Source organism: Homo sapiens, chromosome 10 (assembly GCF_000001405.40).
Source record: "Homo sapiens chromosome 10, GRCh38.p14 Primary Assembly".
Lineage (NCBI taxonomy): Eukaryota > Metazoa > Chordata > Mammalia > Primates > Hominidae > Homo > Homo sapiens.
In genome coordinates this window covers 9,789,520-9,806,273 of record NC_000010.11, presented here as the reverse complement: position 1 = coordinate 9,806,273, position 16,754 = coordinate 9,789,520, and the positions used below count along the sequence as shown (strand labels likewise).

The 16,754-nt window shown below is 35.5% G+C and overlaps 1 long non-coding RNA gene across 4 annotated transcripts in view; it reads left to right on the top strand.

Annotated features, from left to right (window-relative positions):
* The window catches only part of LINC02663 (long intergenic non-protein coding RNA 2663), a 434,814-nt gene that overhangs the window by 71,821 nt on the left and 346,239 nt on the right, over positions 1–16,754 (top strand). For 3 of the 4 annotated variants that reach the window (XR_930643.2, XR_930644.2, XR_930645.3), the window contains exon 2: positions 15,486–15,600. This is a non-coding gene — a long non-coding RNA (long intergenic non-protein coding RNA 2663). Of the gene's footprint in view, positions 1–2,661; positions 2,725–15,485; positions 15,601–16,754 lie in introns of those variants that run through there. The other variant, XR_930646.1, reaches the window with a different exon arrangement.

The window sequence follows — 16,754 nt, the reverse complement described above, 5'->3', positions numbered from 1 at the left end:
AAAATAACATCAGGTCTTCATAACTGGCATCCCCCTTTGTTTTATGGCCTTCCTCTGGATGTCCATAGCTGCGTCCCTTGCAGGGTCACTCTGAGGCTAACTGCAAAAATGTGCTTTAGAATTCCATGAACATCTTGGGCGAGGGCAAAGGAGATGATGATGATGACTTCACTTCAAAGTATTACTGATATTAAAACCTATATATCTTGTGCCATGCTAGAGGATAGTACCTAAAAATACAATTGATAGCATCATCTTAGCAGCAATTAAACCCTAAAAAGCACAAAGTGAGAATTTCTATTTTAAACCTAAGTGTATTTTCTATGACCTGTCTCCCTCAGTTCGACACATGAATGACCTGTTCTCGGTTATTATACACCATAGGGATGCTCTGGTCCCAGAGTTCAGAGTCTGCTGGTATACTGGAGAAAACAGATCAAGCATTAATGTGTGACTGTGGTTTAGCTTTGCAGGGATATTGAGTTCCACAAATGGAAGAACATTTTTAAAAAGACATCCAAGAAATTATCAATGGCCACGTTGCTTCTTAGCCTTTTGGTTAAAATCAAGTGAAGAAATTATCAGTGACTTAAGCCAACAACCAATAATGAAGAAGTCAGTAGTTTTCCTATACCTCATGTATTTTTCTTTATGTATGTTAGTTTTTATAAGATGTTATGTGACATATGATAATGTACATTATAGACATTTTTAATTTAGAGAGAGACACCAAAGCTGCTCAAAATAAAGGAGGGTTAACATCTTTTCTTTCAAGTTCCCTGTGCTGTAGCCAACTTGGTGTAGAACAGAATTCTGGTTCCTCATGTGCTTGTTAACTTAGATATGGGGTTATCTTTGGCACTGCAGTATTTATTTAGCATGTGGAGGATCCCCTAATGTTTAGGGCAGTCATTAATACTTCAGAAATTTGTATCTGCTTTAACAGGTTTCCATTTTTAAAAACTGCAGCCACGTTCATCAAAGAAAAACTCTGGCCAGAATTGCCCAGTTCTTGACCTTCTGATTTCCTTTAGTAAAATATTGTATTTTTGTGCTAATAAAAGAGAGTACAAAGTCTGTTATTTTTAGATAAGGTTTTTAAGATAAAGTTTAGCTTACTCTACTTTTCATATCATCTTTTTTCCAAGTAATTAAAAGTAGGGACATAAAGTAATATTTCTTAAAAGCGATGATATATTTCCCTTTCTGTCAACTAAATAACAAAGCTATTATTATTAACCTTAATCATCATTTAGTGTTAGTTTTTACTTTTTGACAGACTGTACCACAGAATTCTTTTAAATAGTAAATATTCATCATACAGAATTTTGCAAGATGACTTACTTTACAGAAAGTTATCGCGAATTAAGTCAGAATGTGCACTGTGTTTTTTTGTTTTTGTTTTTGTTTTTGTTTTTTTCCGGAAGCCATCTTCATCTGTCCTGGCCACACTGATCTTATTTTTCTAGACTGACATCATTCATCTGTGTAGCATCCAATGAGAACTGGAGCAGCATTCTTGGTAATAAAAAAAAAAAAAGTAAGAAAATCTCTCTCAGTCCAATGCATGCAAATGGCCCCAGTCTTGATTCCTTAGGCAACAGACGTAGACTAGAATTCCAGTATGTTTTCCCTAATCTTCCTGTGGTCTTTATTCTGCTCTGGGTCAGTCAGATTTTCTTGTCATTTGAATAAAACCCTTATCTCCTTCCTTCTGATGGTTTTCCACAATAAGTGCATTTTCTCATGGGACATTCACTTATTGTTATACTTTATAAAAATGTGGATATTAATGTTTTCTCAAAAATATTATCAGCTCTTATGATACAGGCTATTTTAAATTCTTCTATTGTATTTTTCAAAATTTTAATGTACAGAAGTATTCAGAGCACACAACTGATGCTTTTATGTTTAATTGTATGAAGTGTATGTAAAGGAAAGAATACACCTGTGTTGATTTGTAATGTATTGCTCTTAGTGAGACAAGTTTGTTTTGTCAAATATAGTTTTTATTTAGAAACGTAGACTATTCTCATAAAAATCTATACAGAAAAAGAAATTAATGATAATAATTGCGCGTTTCTGGTCACGAATCTGTTGGCTGTGAGTGTTCTTTAGAATTATTTTTACCATTTTTTAATGTGTTCACTATTTTTGTATTTATTTCCCTGAAAATTCTGTATTTTTTTCCTGTATTTTATGTGACTTAACTACTTTTAAATTTTAATGTATCATTGATTTTAGCCTTCATGACTTATGTTTTATATTTGATTTAATAATTAACAATATTCATGGAGTTATCCTTTTTAGGTTTGAGACAAAATGAGAGGAGTAGTATTTGCTTGTATTTAACTCCCACTTAGAAGTCCTTAAGAGTTTTACATTTTTACGTATGTATAAGGTTTGAGGAAAGAAGTCTGTGTCTACCCAGGTGTCCTTTTTTAGTTGTAAATATATTAGTTTAAAATTATGTTTCTGTGTTATTTATCCCTTAACTATAAAAAATGTGAACAGCCCAAATGTTTCATCCCATAATCAGTTTGCACATCAGTCTTTTCTATTCCAATTGATTCTCTCTTAAAACCATTTCTTGTTATCTATAAGCCACAAAATCAACAGATTTTACTCTGTGAATTCCAGATAACCAACTTAACTCTACAACCTTGTTCAGCTGAGAGTTCCAGTCTGCATATTACTATGTGCTTGGGGAATTCTCCTTGACAGGTCAGTTTCTTGATAACATATGCTAAAATTTTAGATCTTTTTCTTCTACAACATAGCAGTATTGCAAAGCCCTTATCTATCTCTCCTGAGAATCTAATGCTACTTCTTAACTTGCCCTGTACATGCTGTGAAACCAAACTGCTATAATACTATGTTTTTTTTTTAATGTAATGTTTGGATAATCCTACATTCTCATTAAGAAGTGTGCTTTAACAGACATCAAATCTCAAGCACCTACATCCTCTTCATCAAATACTTTTCTACTTGCCATTTATAATATAACTTACATACAGCCTTATCTCTGGGCTCCTGGAACACCATTTGCTTACCTCTCTCATAGGAAAAAATATATTACACTGACATTATCTGCTTCTGTACCTGTCTCAACTTTTTGAAAGTAGGTTCTTCAGTAATAGAGACTGGACTTATTAATTTCTATATTCCAAGCACTAAGCAAATATTTGTTCAATATACATTTGCTGAACTGAATTATACATTTGAATCTTGGCTTCAGATGGAGTAAAACTTGAAATAAATCATCACTTAGATGGGTAGGAGACACTGCAGACTGTACAGCAATTCAAGGTGATGATATGACCCAATAGTTCTCAAGATTATTTGAAAGAAAATATACTTGAAACTCGTAATGCTTTTTGAGAAACGCTATAAAAATGACTATACATGCCTTCTAATTTATTGCTAAGTTCCACATTGTTTAAATGAAGTAATGAGGACATCAATACTTTCAATAATATAGATTTGGGGATAAAATGACTTGAACTTGTCACCAGAATATTTTTAGATCTTATGCGAGCAACATGTTTCAGGAAAGTTGTTGGTTGCCCAAATATATTCAGTGTGCCAGTACTCCAAGCATAATGCTTGGAAGTAGGCAGTAGGTACTCCTTTTTTTTTTTCTTTTTAGTTTTCCTTAAGATATTCTTTCATGATGCTCTGTGAATTAATGTGGCCTGTAAGCTTTGTTTTAAACCCTTAAATGAAATTGTGATAGATATTATGATATTGAGTATGGGGAAGGATAGATTATTTGACCAAGTAGACAAAGTTATTATACACTGAATTAAAAGAAACCAAATCAGTTCACTTCAGTAAAGCCCAGACGTAATACTGAGGAAAAGTCAAAGTAATGAAAGTCTTATGTCTGGAGCATTACTACCTAACACTTAGAAATTTTATGCAAGATTTTCTGTATTAATGAAGATAAATAAGTTAGATGGATTTTTAGTATTCATTCTTCTGTTCTTAATTTGTGCAAACAACTTTAATATTGATATCGATGTAAGTCATAAAAAGTATATAACCAACATCTTCATAAAAACCCTGATTTTAACCTGTTATTCTTAGAAATTTGATTTTGATTTGATGGATTTTAAGTAAGATCCCAGTTTGGGGGATCAAGCAATCATAAAAAAATCAAGATTTTTTAATGTATCAGAAATAGATAGGTTTGCATATGTTAATAGTAACACTTAGAAACAGCAATAAAGATGACTTCCACTTCTGGCCAAGTTAGAGAAAGAGGGTCTAGATAATTTATCATCTGACATGAAACAGCTAAAATACCAGACAAAATATATTAAATTGTGATTTTCAGACATTGGACATCAGAAGATGCTGGGTGGTGATCGTTAAGAAAGGGGAACTAAATAGGGTGAGCTTAATGATTGCCCTAACTTACTACCCCAAGAGAAGCTCCAGGCTTCTACTAGATATGCAAAAGATAAAGGGAAAGCAATCAAAGAATACTACTACAAAAGTAAAAATCATCAAATCACTAAGAAAGACATGAAGAGAAGAGGAAAGGAACAAAGGACCAAACAACATCAGGAAACAATCAAGAAAATGGCTATAGTACATTTTACCTATCGACAATCTCTTTAAATGTAAGTGGACTGAATTCTCCTATCAAAAGGCATAGACTGGCCAAATGGGTAAACAAAACAAAACAAGATCCAACAATATGATGCCCATCTATAGGAGATTCACTTTAGTTTAAGGATATTCATAGGCTGAAAGTGAAGGAATGGATAAAGATATTCCATGCCAATAGAATACAAAAGAGATCAGTAGTGGCTCTACTTAGACAAAATGGACTTTAAGTTAAAAACTGTCACAAGCGACAAGGAAGATCATTATAGAATGATAAATGAGTCAATTCTTTAAGAGGATATAACAGTTGTAAATATATGTGCATCCATCATCAGATCACCTAGATATAAAAAGCAAATATTAACAGATCTGAAGGAGGAAATTGACAGCAATATATTAACAGCTGGGGATTTCAGTACCCCACTTTCAACAGTGGATAGATCATCCAGACAGAAAATCAATAAGAAAACCACAGACTTGAATAACACTATATACCAAATAGATCTAACAGACATATATGGGACATTCCATCAAACAGCAGCAGAATACAGGTTCTTCTCAAATGCATAAGGAGCATTCTGCAGGATAGATCATACGTTGGACGACAAAGCAAGTGTCAATTAACTTAAAATGATGGAAATGATATCAAGTATCTTTTCCTATAATTTTATGAAACTAGAAGTCAGTTACAGAAAGAAAATTGGAAAATTCACAGATAAGTGGAAATTAAACAACGCATGATGGAACAACCAGTCAAAGAAGAAATAAAAAAGATTTTAAAAACCCTCAAAGCAAATAAAAATAGAGACACAACATGTAAAAAACTTACGAGGTGCTGCAAAGAAGTTCTAAGAGGGAAGTTTATAGTGGTAAATACATACATCAAAAAAGAAGACAGATCTCAAATGAGGAACCTAATTTTAAACCACAAGGAACAAGAAACATAAGAACAAACTAAACCCAAAGTTAGCACAAGGAAGGAAATAATAAAAATTGAAGCAGAAATAAATAGGGAATAAAAATAAGAAAAATTAAGAAAACCTAAGAGTTGTTTTTTTGTAAAGATAAACACACTCAACAAACCTTTTTTAAGAAAAAAAATAAGAAAACACTTAAGTAAATAAAATGAAATGAAAGAGGAGATGCCTCAGAGATTTTTTTAGATAAAAGGTTAACAAGAGACTATTATGAACAATTATATGCCAACAAATTGGATAGCTTAGAAGAAATTGATAAATTCCTGGAAACATACAACCTACCAAGACTGAATCATGAAGAAACAGAAAATCTAAACAGACCAATAGCAAATGAGATTGAATCAGTAAACAAAAACCTCCCAGCAAAGAAAAGCCATAAGACAAGTTATTAGTATACCTAAAAACAGATTGATGTGACACTCACAACCCAAAAGAAAGGAGAAATGGTTTTATTAATTCAGGTGCAGAGCATGAATGAATTTGAGGAAGTAATAGATTCGTTACTCAAACAGGCAAAGGGTAAAGTTAGGAAATAACAAATCCATTCATGCTTAATAACCTTTTCATCCCTCCTAGAAAAAAGACCAAATTCATTCATGGACTCAATGCCCTATTTGCTCTAACTCCTGCCTAACTTTTAAGCATCAACTTTTTCCCTGATCTTTCCTATCTGGTCTCCAGCTTCACTGGCTTTCTTTATTTCCTGAATGCAACATACTGCCCCTAAAGTTTGAGCCTTAGCAAAAATGTTCTCTTTACCCATAATGTTTTCTCCTCCTCATTTTCTAGTCAACTCTAAATGGTTAAATCTCAACTTAAAAGTCACTTGCGGCCAGGCTTGGTGGCTCAGGCCTGTCCTCCCAGCACTTTGGGAGGCTGAGGCGGGCGGATCACTTGAGGTCAGGAGTTTGAGAGCAGCCTGGCCAACATGGTGAGACCCCGTCTTTACTAAAAAGACAAAAATTATCTGGGCATGGTAGCTCACACCTGTACTCGCAGCTACTTGGGAGGCCGAGGCATGAGAATCGCTTGAGCGCGGGAGGTGAAGGTTGCAGTGAGCCAAGATCGCGCCACTGCACTCCAGCCTGGGTGACAGAGCAAGACTCGTTCTCAAAAAAAAAAAAAAAAAAAAGAAAGAAAAATTACTTGCTTCACCTAGAATGAGTTACTTCTGATATTTAATCTTGTTGCTTTGTGACTTTTCCTCATACGACTTATAGTAGTTTGTAATTATAAATTTTTATAAGTATAGTTGACCCTTGAACAATACAGGTTTGAACTTCATGGGTCCACTTATACATGGATATTTTTCAATAAAAGTCACTCCAAATGTGCCTAATCCTTGTATCTCTCTTCTGCCTTCTCCATCTCTTCTGTCTCTGCCACCACAAAGACAACCCCTCCTCTTCCTCCTTCTCAGCCTACTCAGTATAAAGATGATGAGGATGAAGAACTTTATGATGATCCACCTCCATTTAATATTAAATATATTTATTTTCCTTATGATTTTATTAACATTTTCTTTTCCCTAGCTTTCTTGTAAGAATACAGTATGTAACACATATAACATACAACATATGTGTGAATTAACTGTTTATGTTTTCTTTAAGACTTTCAGGCTGGGTGTGGTGGCTCACGCCTGTAATCTCAGCACTTTGGGAGGCCGAGGCGGGCGGATCACCTGTGGTCAGGAGTTTGAGACCAGCCTGGTCAACATGATGAAACCCTGTCTCTACTAAAAATACAAAAAAATTAGGTGGGTGTGGTGGTGTGCACCTGTAATCACAGCTCCTCTGGAGGATGTGGCAAGAGAATTGCTTGAACCTGGGAGGTGGAAGTTGCAGTGAGCCGAGATTGCGCCATTGCACTCGAGCCTGGGTGACAGAGCGAGACTCTGTCTCAAAAAAAAAAAAAAAAAGGCTTTCAGTCAAGTAGATCATTAGTAGTTAACTTCTGGGGAGTCAAAATTTATTTGCAGATTTTCAACTGCATTGGAGTCAGCACCCTGAATCCCTGCTTTATTCAAGAGGCAACTGTATGTGATTCATACCTGCCTCCTCTATTAAACTAGAAATAACTTGTATGTAGGGACTGTCTTTCTGCATTGTGTCTCTACCATTGACACAAAGTAGGGTCCAAAAAAATTTGTATATTAATAATAAAAAGAAGGGGGAGACCAGCTCAAAATAGAACGATGAAACCAGAATGAATAAAATGAACACAAAAATGGAACATTAAAGTCCAAGATAGACTGAAACGGTAAAAGAAATCTAGAATTCTGGTCCTCTTGCTTGAAAAACATCCTAAGATATTGAAGAAGTTGTCTGAGAGGCAATACAGTGTGATGAAAAGATTTGCTCTTCCCTCCACATAAGTTGGGCATCATGGCCTGGCTTTCTTTTGTCTGCTGTACGCTGCTATTATTATTCTTTACTTTTGCAATGTCCTTTTCCTTCACTTTGACTTAGCTAGGACATGGCTTGCAGACACTCGATGAAAAATAACATCACGAGGGAATAAATCGATGAATGACAATGGTAGAAGTTCTCATCATGGCCATGAATGATCCTCAATCTAAGAAAGAGAGTTTTTAGTGAAATAATGATGCCGTCAAGGTACCCAGTACTCCATGAATCTAAAGCGCAACTCAAGACTTTTGTTGACATCATTTACTTTCTTCAATGGCATGGTGTGTGTCCTGCTGGCAATAGGGAAGCTACTGGCTTAGAAAAAAATCACAGCCCCTGTAACCACAATCATTTTGTGAGTTACAGGGAACACAGATAATGTAAACCTTGCTGCTTCAAGAATCATTAAGGACCTTTTTATAGTTTGTTTAGATCCAACACTTAAAGAAAAAATTAAGTTCTTTAGTCTTTTTTATTAAGTTTCTGATTTAATTTTATTGGCTAAAAACCACTGTGACCCAAGAAGTCAAATTTATAATAGTTTAAACAATTGACTATATCTTTATATATAATTTAAAATGCTTTTCATCTTCCTTATATAAATTTGTTAGAAAAGAAGTGAACTTCATTTTCTGTTTCTGTTCTAGAGTCAGTATTGCTTTGGGGGAAAAAAAAATCTATAGGCTCACAGAAACAATAACATATTAAGAAATTATGCATGTGTGTGTATATATGTGTATATATGTTATATATATTTTTATGTGTGTGAATATATGTGTAGATATGTTATATATATTTTTATATGTGTGTGAATATGTGTGTGAATATAGGTATATATGTATACATGTTACACATATTTTTATATGTGTGTGAATATGTGTGTATATGTATGTCTATATGTCATATTTTATATGTGTGTAAATATGTGTGTATATGTGTATATATGTTATATATATTTTATATGTGTGTGAATATGAATGTGTATATATGTATCTATGTTATATATATTTTATATGTGTGTGAATATGTGTGTGTATGCCTTATTGTGCTATTCCAGAAAGTGTATTGGCTTCTTTTACACATGTCCACTTTTATGTAACCATTTCTTCCTTTTTAGTAGAAAGCCCATGTTTTCAGATGCTACTCTTTATTTTCCTTGACCAAACAATGGATCATCTTAAACACAATAGATAGAAAGACTGCATGAGAGATTCATATGTCACAGGTGAATAAAATTCCCTTCCTTCTGGTTTTTATTTTGGCTGGCAAAAGCACCTAGGATGATAGGTTCTACGTAGAGGTAAGATAGTGCAGCACAGTGATACTTTTTATTACCCGCTTTTTCATCCTATGTAATAGGGATGCAAAGCAAATACTTTATGGAAACACCAACAACTCAAGCTGACATATGCCACAGTGACTTACATAAAAGCAACTCGTGCACAGATGAACTGCTCTTGAATACAGAAGACGGATTTCAGTTCTGGACAGTCAGGGTGGGGATTGTATATGTGATAATAATGACACAAGGCAGACAGAAGCTATTTTTAAAAGAACTGCCTGGAGGCCAGAGGGTTATTCCCAAGGGGAGAAAAAAATCAGCATTACTGTTTTCACTTCTAAGTGTGGAGCTTTGACTTTCCCAGCCCTGCAAACAGTAAAAGCTGAACAAATGTAGATTAGTAAAATATGCCATAGAGAATAACAGGGAAAACATGGCCATACTATTCTGCATAGTCCATTACCTATATATCTGTGGTTAATATCTCTGCTACTTCATGTGGCAAAAAGAAATCTCAATGGATAGAAAGAGAAAATGTACCTAGTTACCTTCAGTCTATTACGTTGTTATCAGTTAGTGCCTTTGAATAACATATGCCCCTAACAAGTATTGAAGTCATAAACAATGCATAATAGATCGGAAAACATATTCACAAACTAATGATATTAAGTCCTCAACTCAAAATACAAATCTTTGGCTCATTCATATCTCTCTACAGTTGGTATTTGAATTCTAATTTTGTTCATTTGAAAATATGGGCTTATCTTTTGGTTTATATTCCACAACAGTTTTGTCTCCCAGTAACCGGATTAAAACAAAAAAAGAAAACAAAAAATTCAGCCCAAACTAGATTACTCTTCTTCCAAATAAGTTTAATTTTATGTAGTCTAATTATTTAATTACTTTTTCTTCTGAATGCTCACATCAAATATCAAGAAACACCTGTGGGCAGGGAAGAGCGTAATCAGGGATCTAGAGAGAATTTCATAAACATAATATACTTCTCAACATGTTTATCTCAGGGGATTCCAGGAACTGTTCATTCAATAGAGTAACATCTTTTATACTAGGCCATCCTTCCCACTCTTCATGGGGAAATCATTGCTGTTAAAATGTTTAATCTCAGAGAAAAGGAAGTTGAGATACAGACATTTTAACTACTGTAAGAATTAAAAGCGGCCGGGTGCGGTGGCTCACACCTGTAATCCCAGCACTTTGGGAGTCCGAGGTGGGCGGATCATGAGGTCAGGAGTTCGAGACCAGCCTGAACAACATGGTGACACCCCGTCTCTACTAAAAATACAAAAATTAGCCGGGTGTGGTGGCATTCACCTGTAATTCCAGCTACTCAGGAGGCTGAGGCAGGAGAATCACTTGAACCTGGGAGGCGGGGGTTGCAATGTTGCAGTGAGCCAAAATCATGCCACTGCACTCCAGCCTGGGTGACAGAGAGAGACTCCATTAAAAAAAAAATTAAAAGCAAAGGTTGATAATGCCTGTCAGAAAAACATGAGACATTTAAAAGTCAGGCGTTAAAGTTACTTTGTGTAGAAATCTGTTGTTCTGGGGAGCTGGATGCAGTGGAATGAGAAAGGACACCACCCCCTCATCTCACTTCTGCAGTTCTATTTTCCGATGCTTGGTTTTCATTTGTTTTAATAAGAAAAATTTTTGCATTGTTTAAGTCACAGTATGTAATAATAAACATTTATTGAATACTTACATTTTCAGCTTAAAACCCAAGCTAAACAAACACACATCAAACTTATAATGATTTGCTTTAAAAAAGCAATGCTATCTACTAATTGCTGTCCTTGTTGGTCACTATTGCCTTTAGAGATCAACTTCTTGAGAGAGTGTCTCCATTCATTTTCTCCAATTAGTTGCTTCTGCATTCTTCAAACTACCACAAGTGAGCTTCTGAGAACGAAACTAAAATCCAATGATCAGTTTGCCAAATATAATTGATGTTTTTATATGGTGATATGTAAAAAATTACATAAATGCTGCATAATTCAGGGTTGTTCTCCCTTCATTTTCTTGCCATCTCCCAGTTAAAAACTGCCAGTCGCTGAGTGTGTATCTTCCTATTCCTTTTGCTATGCATTTATATGTGTATATACGTGATATAGGTGGATTAAACTGCTTTTCATTCCTTGCTCTTTAATCACTTAATATATCCCATAGGTCTTTCCCTGGTGGCACATCAGTGTGGGTGGGCCTACTTCATTCTATTTAATGGCTATGCTGTGGATGCCCCATGATGTATATATGTAGCCTCTTTGCTGATGATGAACGTTTATGGTATTAACACTTTTGGTTTTAAACAATATTTCAATGACTATTCTTAATCGGGGTGATGAGTCATAGGCAAATGCACTTAAAAATTTATAAATATTTCCAAGTCATTACCAAAATCATTCATCTTTTCTCATCAACAGTAAATGAGAGGCTGGGTGCGGAGGCTCACACCTGTAATCCCAGAACTTTGGGAGGCTGAGGCGGGCGGCTCACAAGATCAGGAGATCGAGACCATCCTGGCTAACATGGTGAAACCCTGTCTCTACTAAAAAAAATACAAAAATTAGCTGGGCATGGTGGTGGGTGCCTGTAGTCCCAGCTATTCAGAGGCTGAGGCAGGAGAATGGTATGAACCCGGGAGGCGGAGCTTGCAGTTAGCCGAGATCCTGCCACTGCACTCCAGCCTGGGTGACAGAGCGAGGCTCCGTCTCAAAAAAAACCAAAAAAACAAAAAAACCCAAAAAAACAAAACAGTAACAGTAAATGAGAATTCACATCTGGAATCTTACATCTGGGCTACATTTCTTTGGTATTGACTATCTCATTGTGCAAAATATCTTATTTCACTGATTATCAGTGAAGTCAATCACTTTTCCATATATTCACTGGCCATGTGATACTGTTGCTTTCTCCTTTATAATCTTTGTTAATATATTATAGCATGGTTTGCCTATCATATTGGTTTCTAGGAGATTTTTGGCTTAAAGGAATTTAATCCTTTATGTATTTCAAATTTCTCTGCCATTATGTTGATTTTAAATAATTTTAATGGTATATTGTGTTGAACATGTTTTTAAAAAATTTTATATAATCTGTCAATGCTTTTATGATATTAACACTATGTAACTTGCTTCTGAAGGTCATAAAATATTACTTTATAGTTTGTTCTGCTATAAGGACATTACTTTTCATTATATATAAGTATATGCATATATATACATGAATATGTGTGTGTGTGTGTGCATGTATTGCTAATCAGGGTTCTATTATTTTTCTCCTAATGGAAAGACAATGTCCTAAGCCCTTTATTGAATTGTTTATAATTGCTTAATGATTTTAGTACTATCTTTGTTATAAAAATGAGCATATTTCATAGGTCTGTTTTTAGACTCTCCATTCTTTTGTTCTAACGACTTGTCTATGTCTGTATTAATACTGCATTAATTTTATATCTTAATAATTTATCTTGGTAATTTTGATAACTGGTAGGTCCTGTTTGTCTATACTACTATTATTTTCCAGTATTTCTTGGTTACTTTAATTTTTGTCTTCAATTTAATCTTTGAATTAGCTTATCAAAGTCTCATGAAAATCTCCAATTGGACATTGTGATATACGTGGGATGTGATTACTTTTAATCATTTATTGATATTATTCCAATTACTTATATCACCAAAAAGTTCTCAAAACTTTGTGATCTGTGGTCACATTTTCCTTTTAATTATATACTTCCTATTGTTTTTTGGCAATTTGTTTTATGAAATGAGAGTTGAAGAGTATGACCAGCCCTCCTCTTTCATCTGACTAATTCTCTTGCTTCAATTATGCATTAGTTATAGCTGACCACATCTTCCAAGGACCCCAAAACCTCCCTGATTTCCTCTTATGTCTCTGACATTGTTCTCAGTTTCTTCTTCTAATCACTTAATTTAATCAAAATCCTACTCTGATATCTCCACTGAGAATAGGATTTTTTTAATCTACTGGAAACCTCTACTAAAGTAGCATCTCCAGTTTAACATGTCTGATGCAGAAATTACAATCTTCTCAAGAGATTCACCATCTTAAACCTGTCTTACCTCCTCTCTTCCTTAAGTATCTTAGTGAAAGATACCAGGAAATGTTCCCTCAATTCTTTCTCACATATGATTGTCCTCTCTGCTAAACTTACACAGTAACTTCTTTAGCTCATCAACTCCCCATTGTCCTCAAAACTGTCTTGTCCATCAAGATTCTTTCGCCCACTGCCATAGCTTGAGTCACTTAAAATGCACGTCTGTCAATATAATTTCACTGTCTTTATAAAAAATATTCTTAGTTCCCCATCACCTACACTAAACTATGAGTTTCTTGACCTTGAAGTTATCTGACCATCATCTGATCCTTGCCCATTTCTCCAGGATTATTTGCTGCTCCATCCATGCCTCCATTCCATATCGTTTAATTATATAAATACACTTGCAGATTCCCAATATACAAAACTCTACACGTGTCTCCACCTTTTTCTTGTTGATCTCTGTGACTGGAATGCTTATATTCCTTCTTCTCAAGACTACTTCCTGTGCATGCTCCAAGGCTTAGTCATGGCTAAGTCTTTCATCAATCCTCCTCCTCAGTATGGGGTAGGTGTGCCTCTGTTAAGCACCCTGTAGTAACTTCACTATAGCACTTGTCATTTTCTAATCGTTAGGTTATTTTCCTTTCTCCTCTAGATTCTGAGGTTTTTGAAAACAGAACTGAACCTTTTATCTCAGCTTCTCAGACACCTATCACAGTTCCTATCCCATTTGTGATATTTAGTAAATGTCTAGCCAATAGCTACATAAAATTGAATGGAAGTGACCAGCATATTTGAATGTTTAAGTGAAATAAAATAACCACTCAAGGAGGCCTCCCAATATTAAAGCTGTAATATGGTATGGAAGTGTTCCTGGAAAATCAGTGCCGCTACTGTCAGTATTGTGGGGCAGCTCTGCCCTGCTTAGATTCCTTGGGTTTTGCCTCTGGTTATCAAAAGACTGTCTCAAACATTTAAGACCACAGGGAATCATGGAAAAATGTTACTTGACTTCAGAGATACTGAATTCTGCATCTAAAGTGCTAAGGGTGAAAAACCAGGTTGCCTTTTCCCTGTTTAATGTCTGAATGTTTTCAGAAGTTATTGTAACCAGTGTGGATTCAAAAGAGAATATGCACTCTCATTGCTATCCTACCAAAATTCAGAGCCATAAACCCAGTTTTCTATGTATTTCTTTTTCCAACTTGGGGGAGAGAATATTGACTAACAGGATTGAAGACCTTGCTTAAGATACAAACTGGTGCTGGGCATGGTGGCTCATGCCTGTAATCCCAGTACTTTGGGAGGATGAGGTGGGCGGATCACTTGAGGTCAGGAGTTCGAGACCAGCCTGGCCAATGTGATGAAACCCCATCTCTAATAAAAATACAAAAAGTAACTGGGCATGGTGGCACACGCCTGTAATCACAGCTACTTGGAAGCTGGGGCACAAGAATCATTCGAACCTGGGAGGCAGAGGTTGCAGTGAGCCGTGATTGTACCATTGCACTCCAGTCTGGATGACAGAGTGAGCCCATCTCAAAAAAAACAAAAAAGAGACACAAGGTGGGCTTTTTATTTTCAAACTACCTTTATCACTTCTGTGTGTCAGTAAGGGATATCAATAAGATACTAAAAAGTGGCTGGGCCCAGAGAGGATATTTGATCTATATAATAAACTGAAGAAAAAGTCAATACAAGAAATAAAGATAAATTCAGTGCAGAATAAAAACATGTAAGTTACAGTTACATTTATCTATAAAGATAAATTTAGTGCAGAATAAAAATATGTTTTAGTTACATGGAATATTCTTTTATATCATTTTTAAAGAATAACAGTAATTTACCTCATTGTATTAGTCATTTGATTGATTGATTTTTACTTAGTTAATTCACCTATTTGCCAAAGGAATAGTACAGCTACCTACTTATTCAGAGAAGGCTCTGGAAAGCAGGAGCTTTCCTGTCTGTTTACTTTTTGCCCACAAATTCCCAACCTGCTTCTCCTGGTGATATGGTTTCTATACACAGTGACTTTAGTATAACTTTGACTTCCATTTCAGCAGTGCTTGTGAGAGTTTCATTCAAAGATATTAACATACTACTCTCTTCTTTATTTTTTGTAGAAATGTTCAGTTGTCTAGCTCACAGGGATATCCACAAGCCAGACCCAGAAAGCCTTTGCTACCATTGATGAAGATGCCAAGTCCACAGCCCAACAGCCAGAAGACCCTTGGTCTAGTAAGTGTCACCCTGTAATTCTGTGATCTGAGAGCTCCCAGGAGATGAGACTGGTGAAGAAGCAAGGCTTCTTTGGGTCCCTAGTGTAATCTTGGCTGAGGGAGAAGGGTCCTATAATTTCTGGAATAAATTTAAAGGAAGCTGTGAAATTTCCTGCCAGAAAAGTTGCTCTGTCAGCTTCCATTCTCGTAATATCATTGGCTGCTCGATTAGAGCTTAAACGCTTATGTAGTCCTTCAATTTTGTCAGTTTTCCCTAAATACTTCTTAGCTTATGTCACATATCTACATGTGATGGGAATATACAGTTCGTCACCTACTACTTCAGTTTCCTGCATAATCTGCATCCACACCGAATAACCATGAGCAGAACTCACTAAATGGATACAGACGACTTCTGGAAGGATTTTTCAAGGCACCAGGTGAAATTACTTAAAAGCCAACTGATTCTGCAGACAAGCGTGTCAGCTCCTCTGACACCCCTGGGGATTCACACCCTGGGGAAATTTGTAAATGTGAAACAGAAGCCCAACAATTGTACTGTGCAGTGACAAAAACGTCTCTCTCCCCCAAAAACCTGAGTAGGTGAAGGAAGTTTACTTTGCATCCTCTGATACAAGCATACATCAAGTTGTCTTGCCAAGTAAAGAATGAGAACAAAATGTACTACTTAGTTTCATTATCTTTTTTTGCCTTTGATCATAGGATTCCATGCACTGGATTTTTACGGATGAAGAATAGGAATGTGTTGAGAAGGGATGGGATGGTGATAAAATTAGAAACTGAATGGTGGTTGTATTGGTTCCTGAACCTTGTTATTCCTCCTACCCCTAAGTTCCATTTAAGAAGGGGTCCCAGGAGGTGGGTGACTCTGGCTGTTGGAAAACATAATTAGGCTTGACTTCTTACCTCTCACCACTAATTCTTACCTCTCACCCTAATTCTGAAGAATTAGGTAACAAAACAAGCTCTGCACTGAGAGTCAATAGGCAAGCTGAACTGTTCAAGTTGAAGACCCAACAGACAAATCCCAAAAGAGATTGCTTTACCTTTCATCAGCAGGATGGGAAAGATTTATTGCAATGTTAAAATAAAATGTTGAAAATGTATTTTTTAGGAAGTCTACAGTGATGTTTGTCAATCTGACTTCTGTCT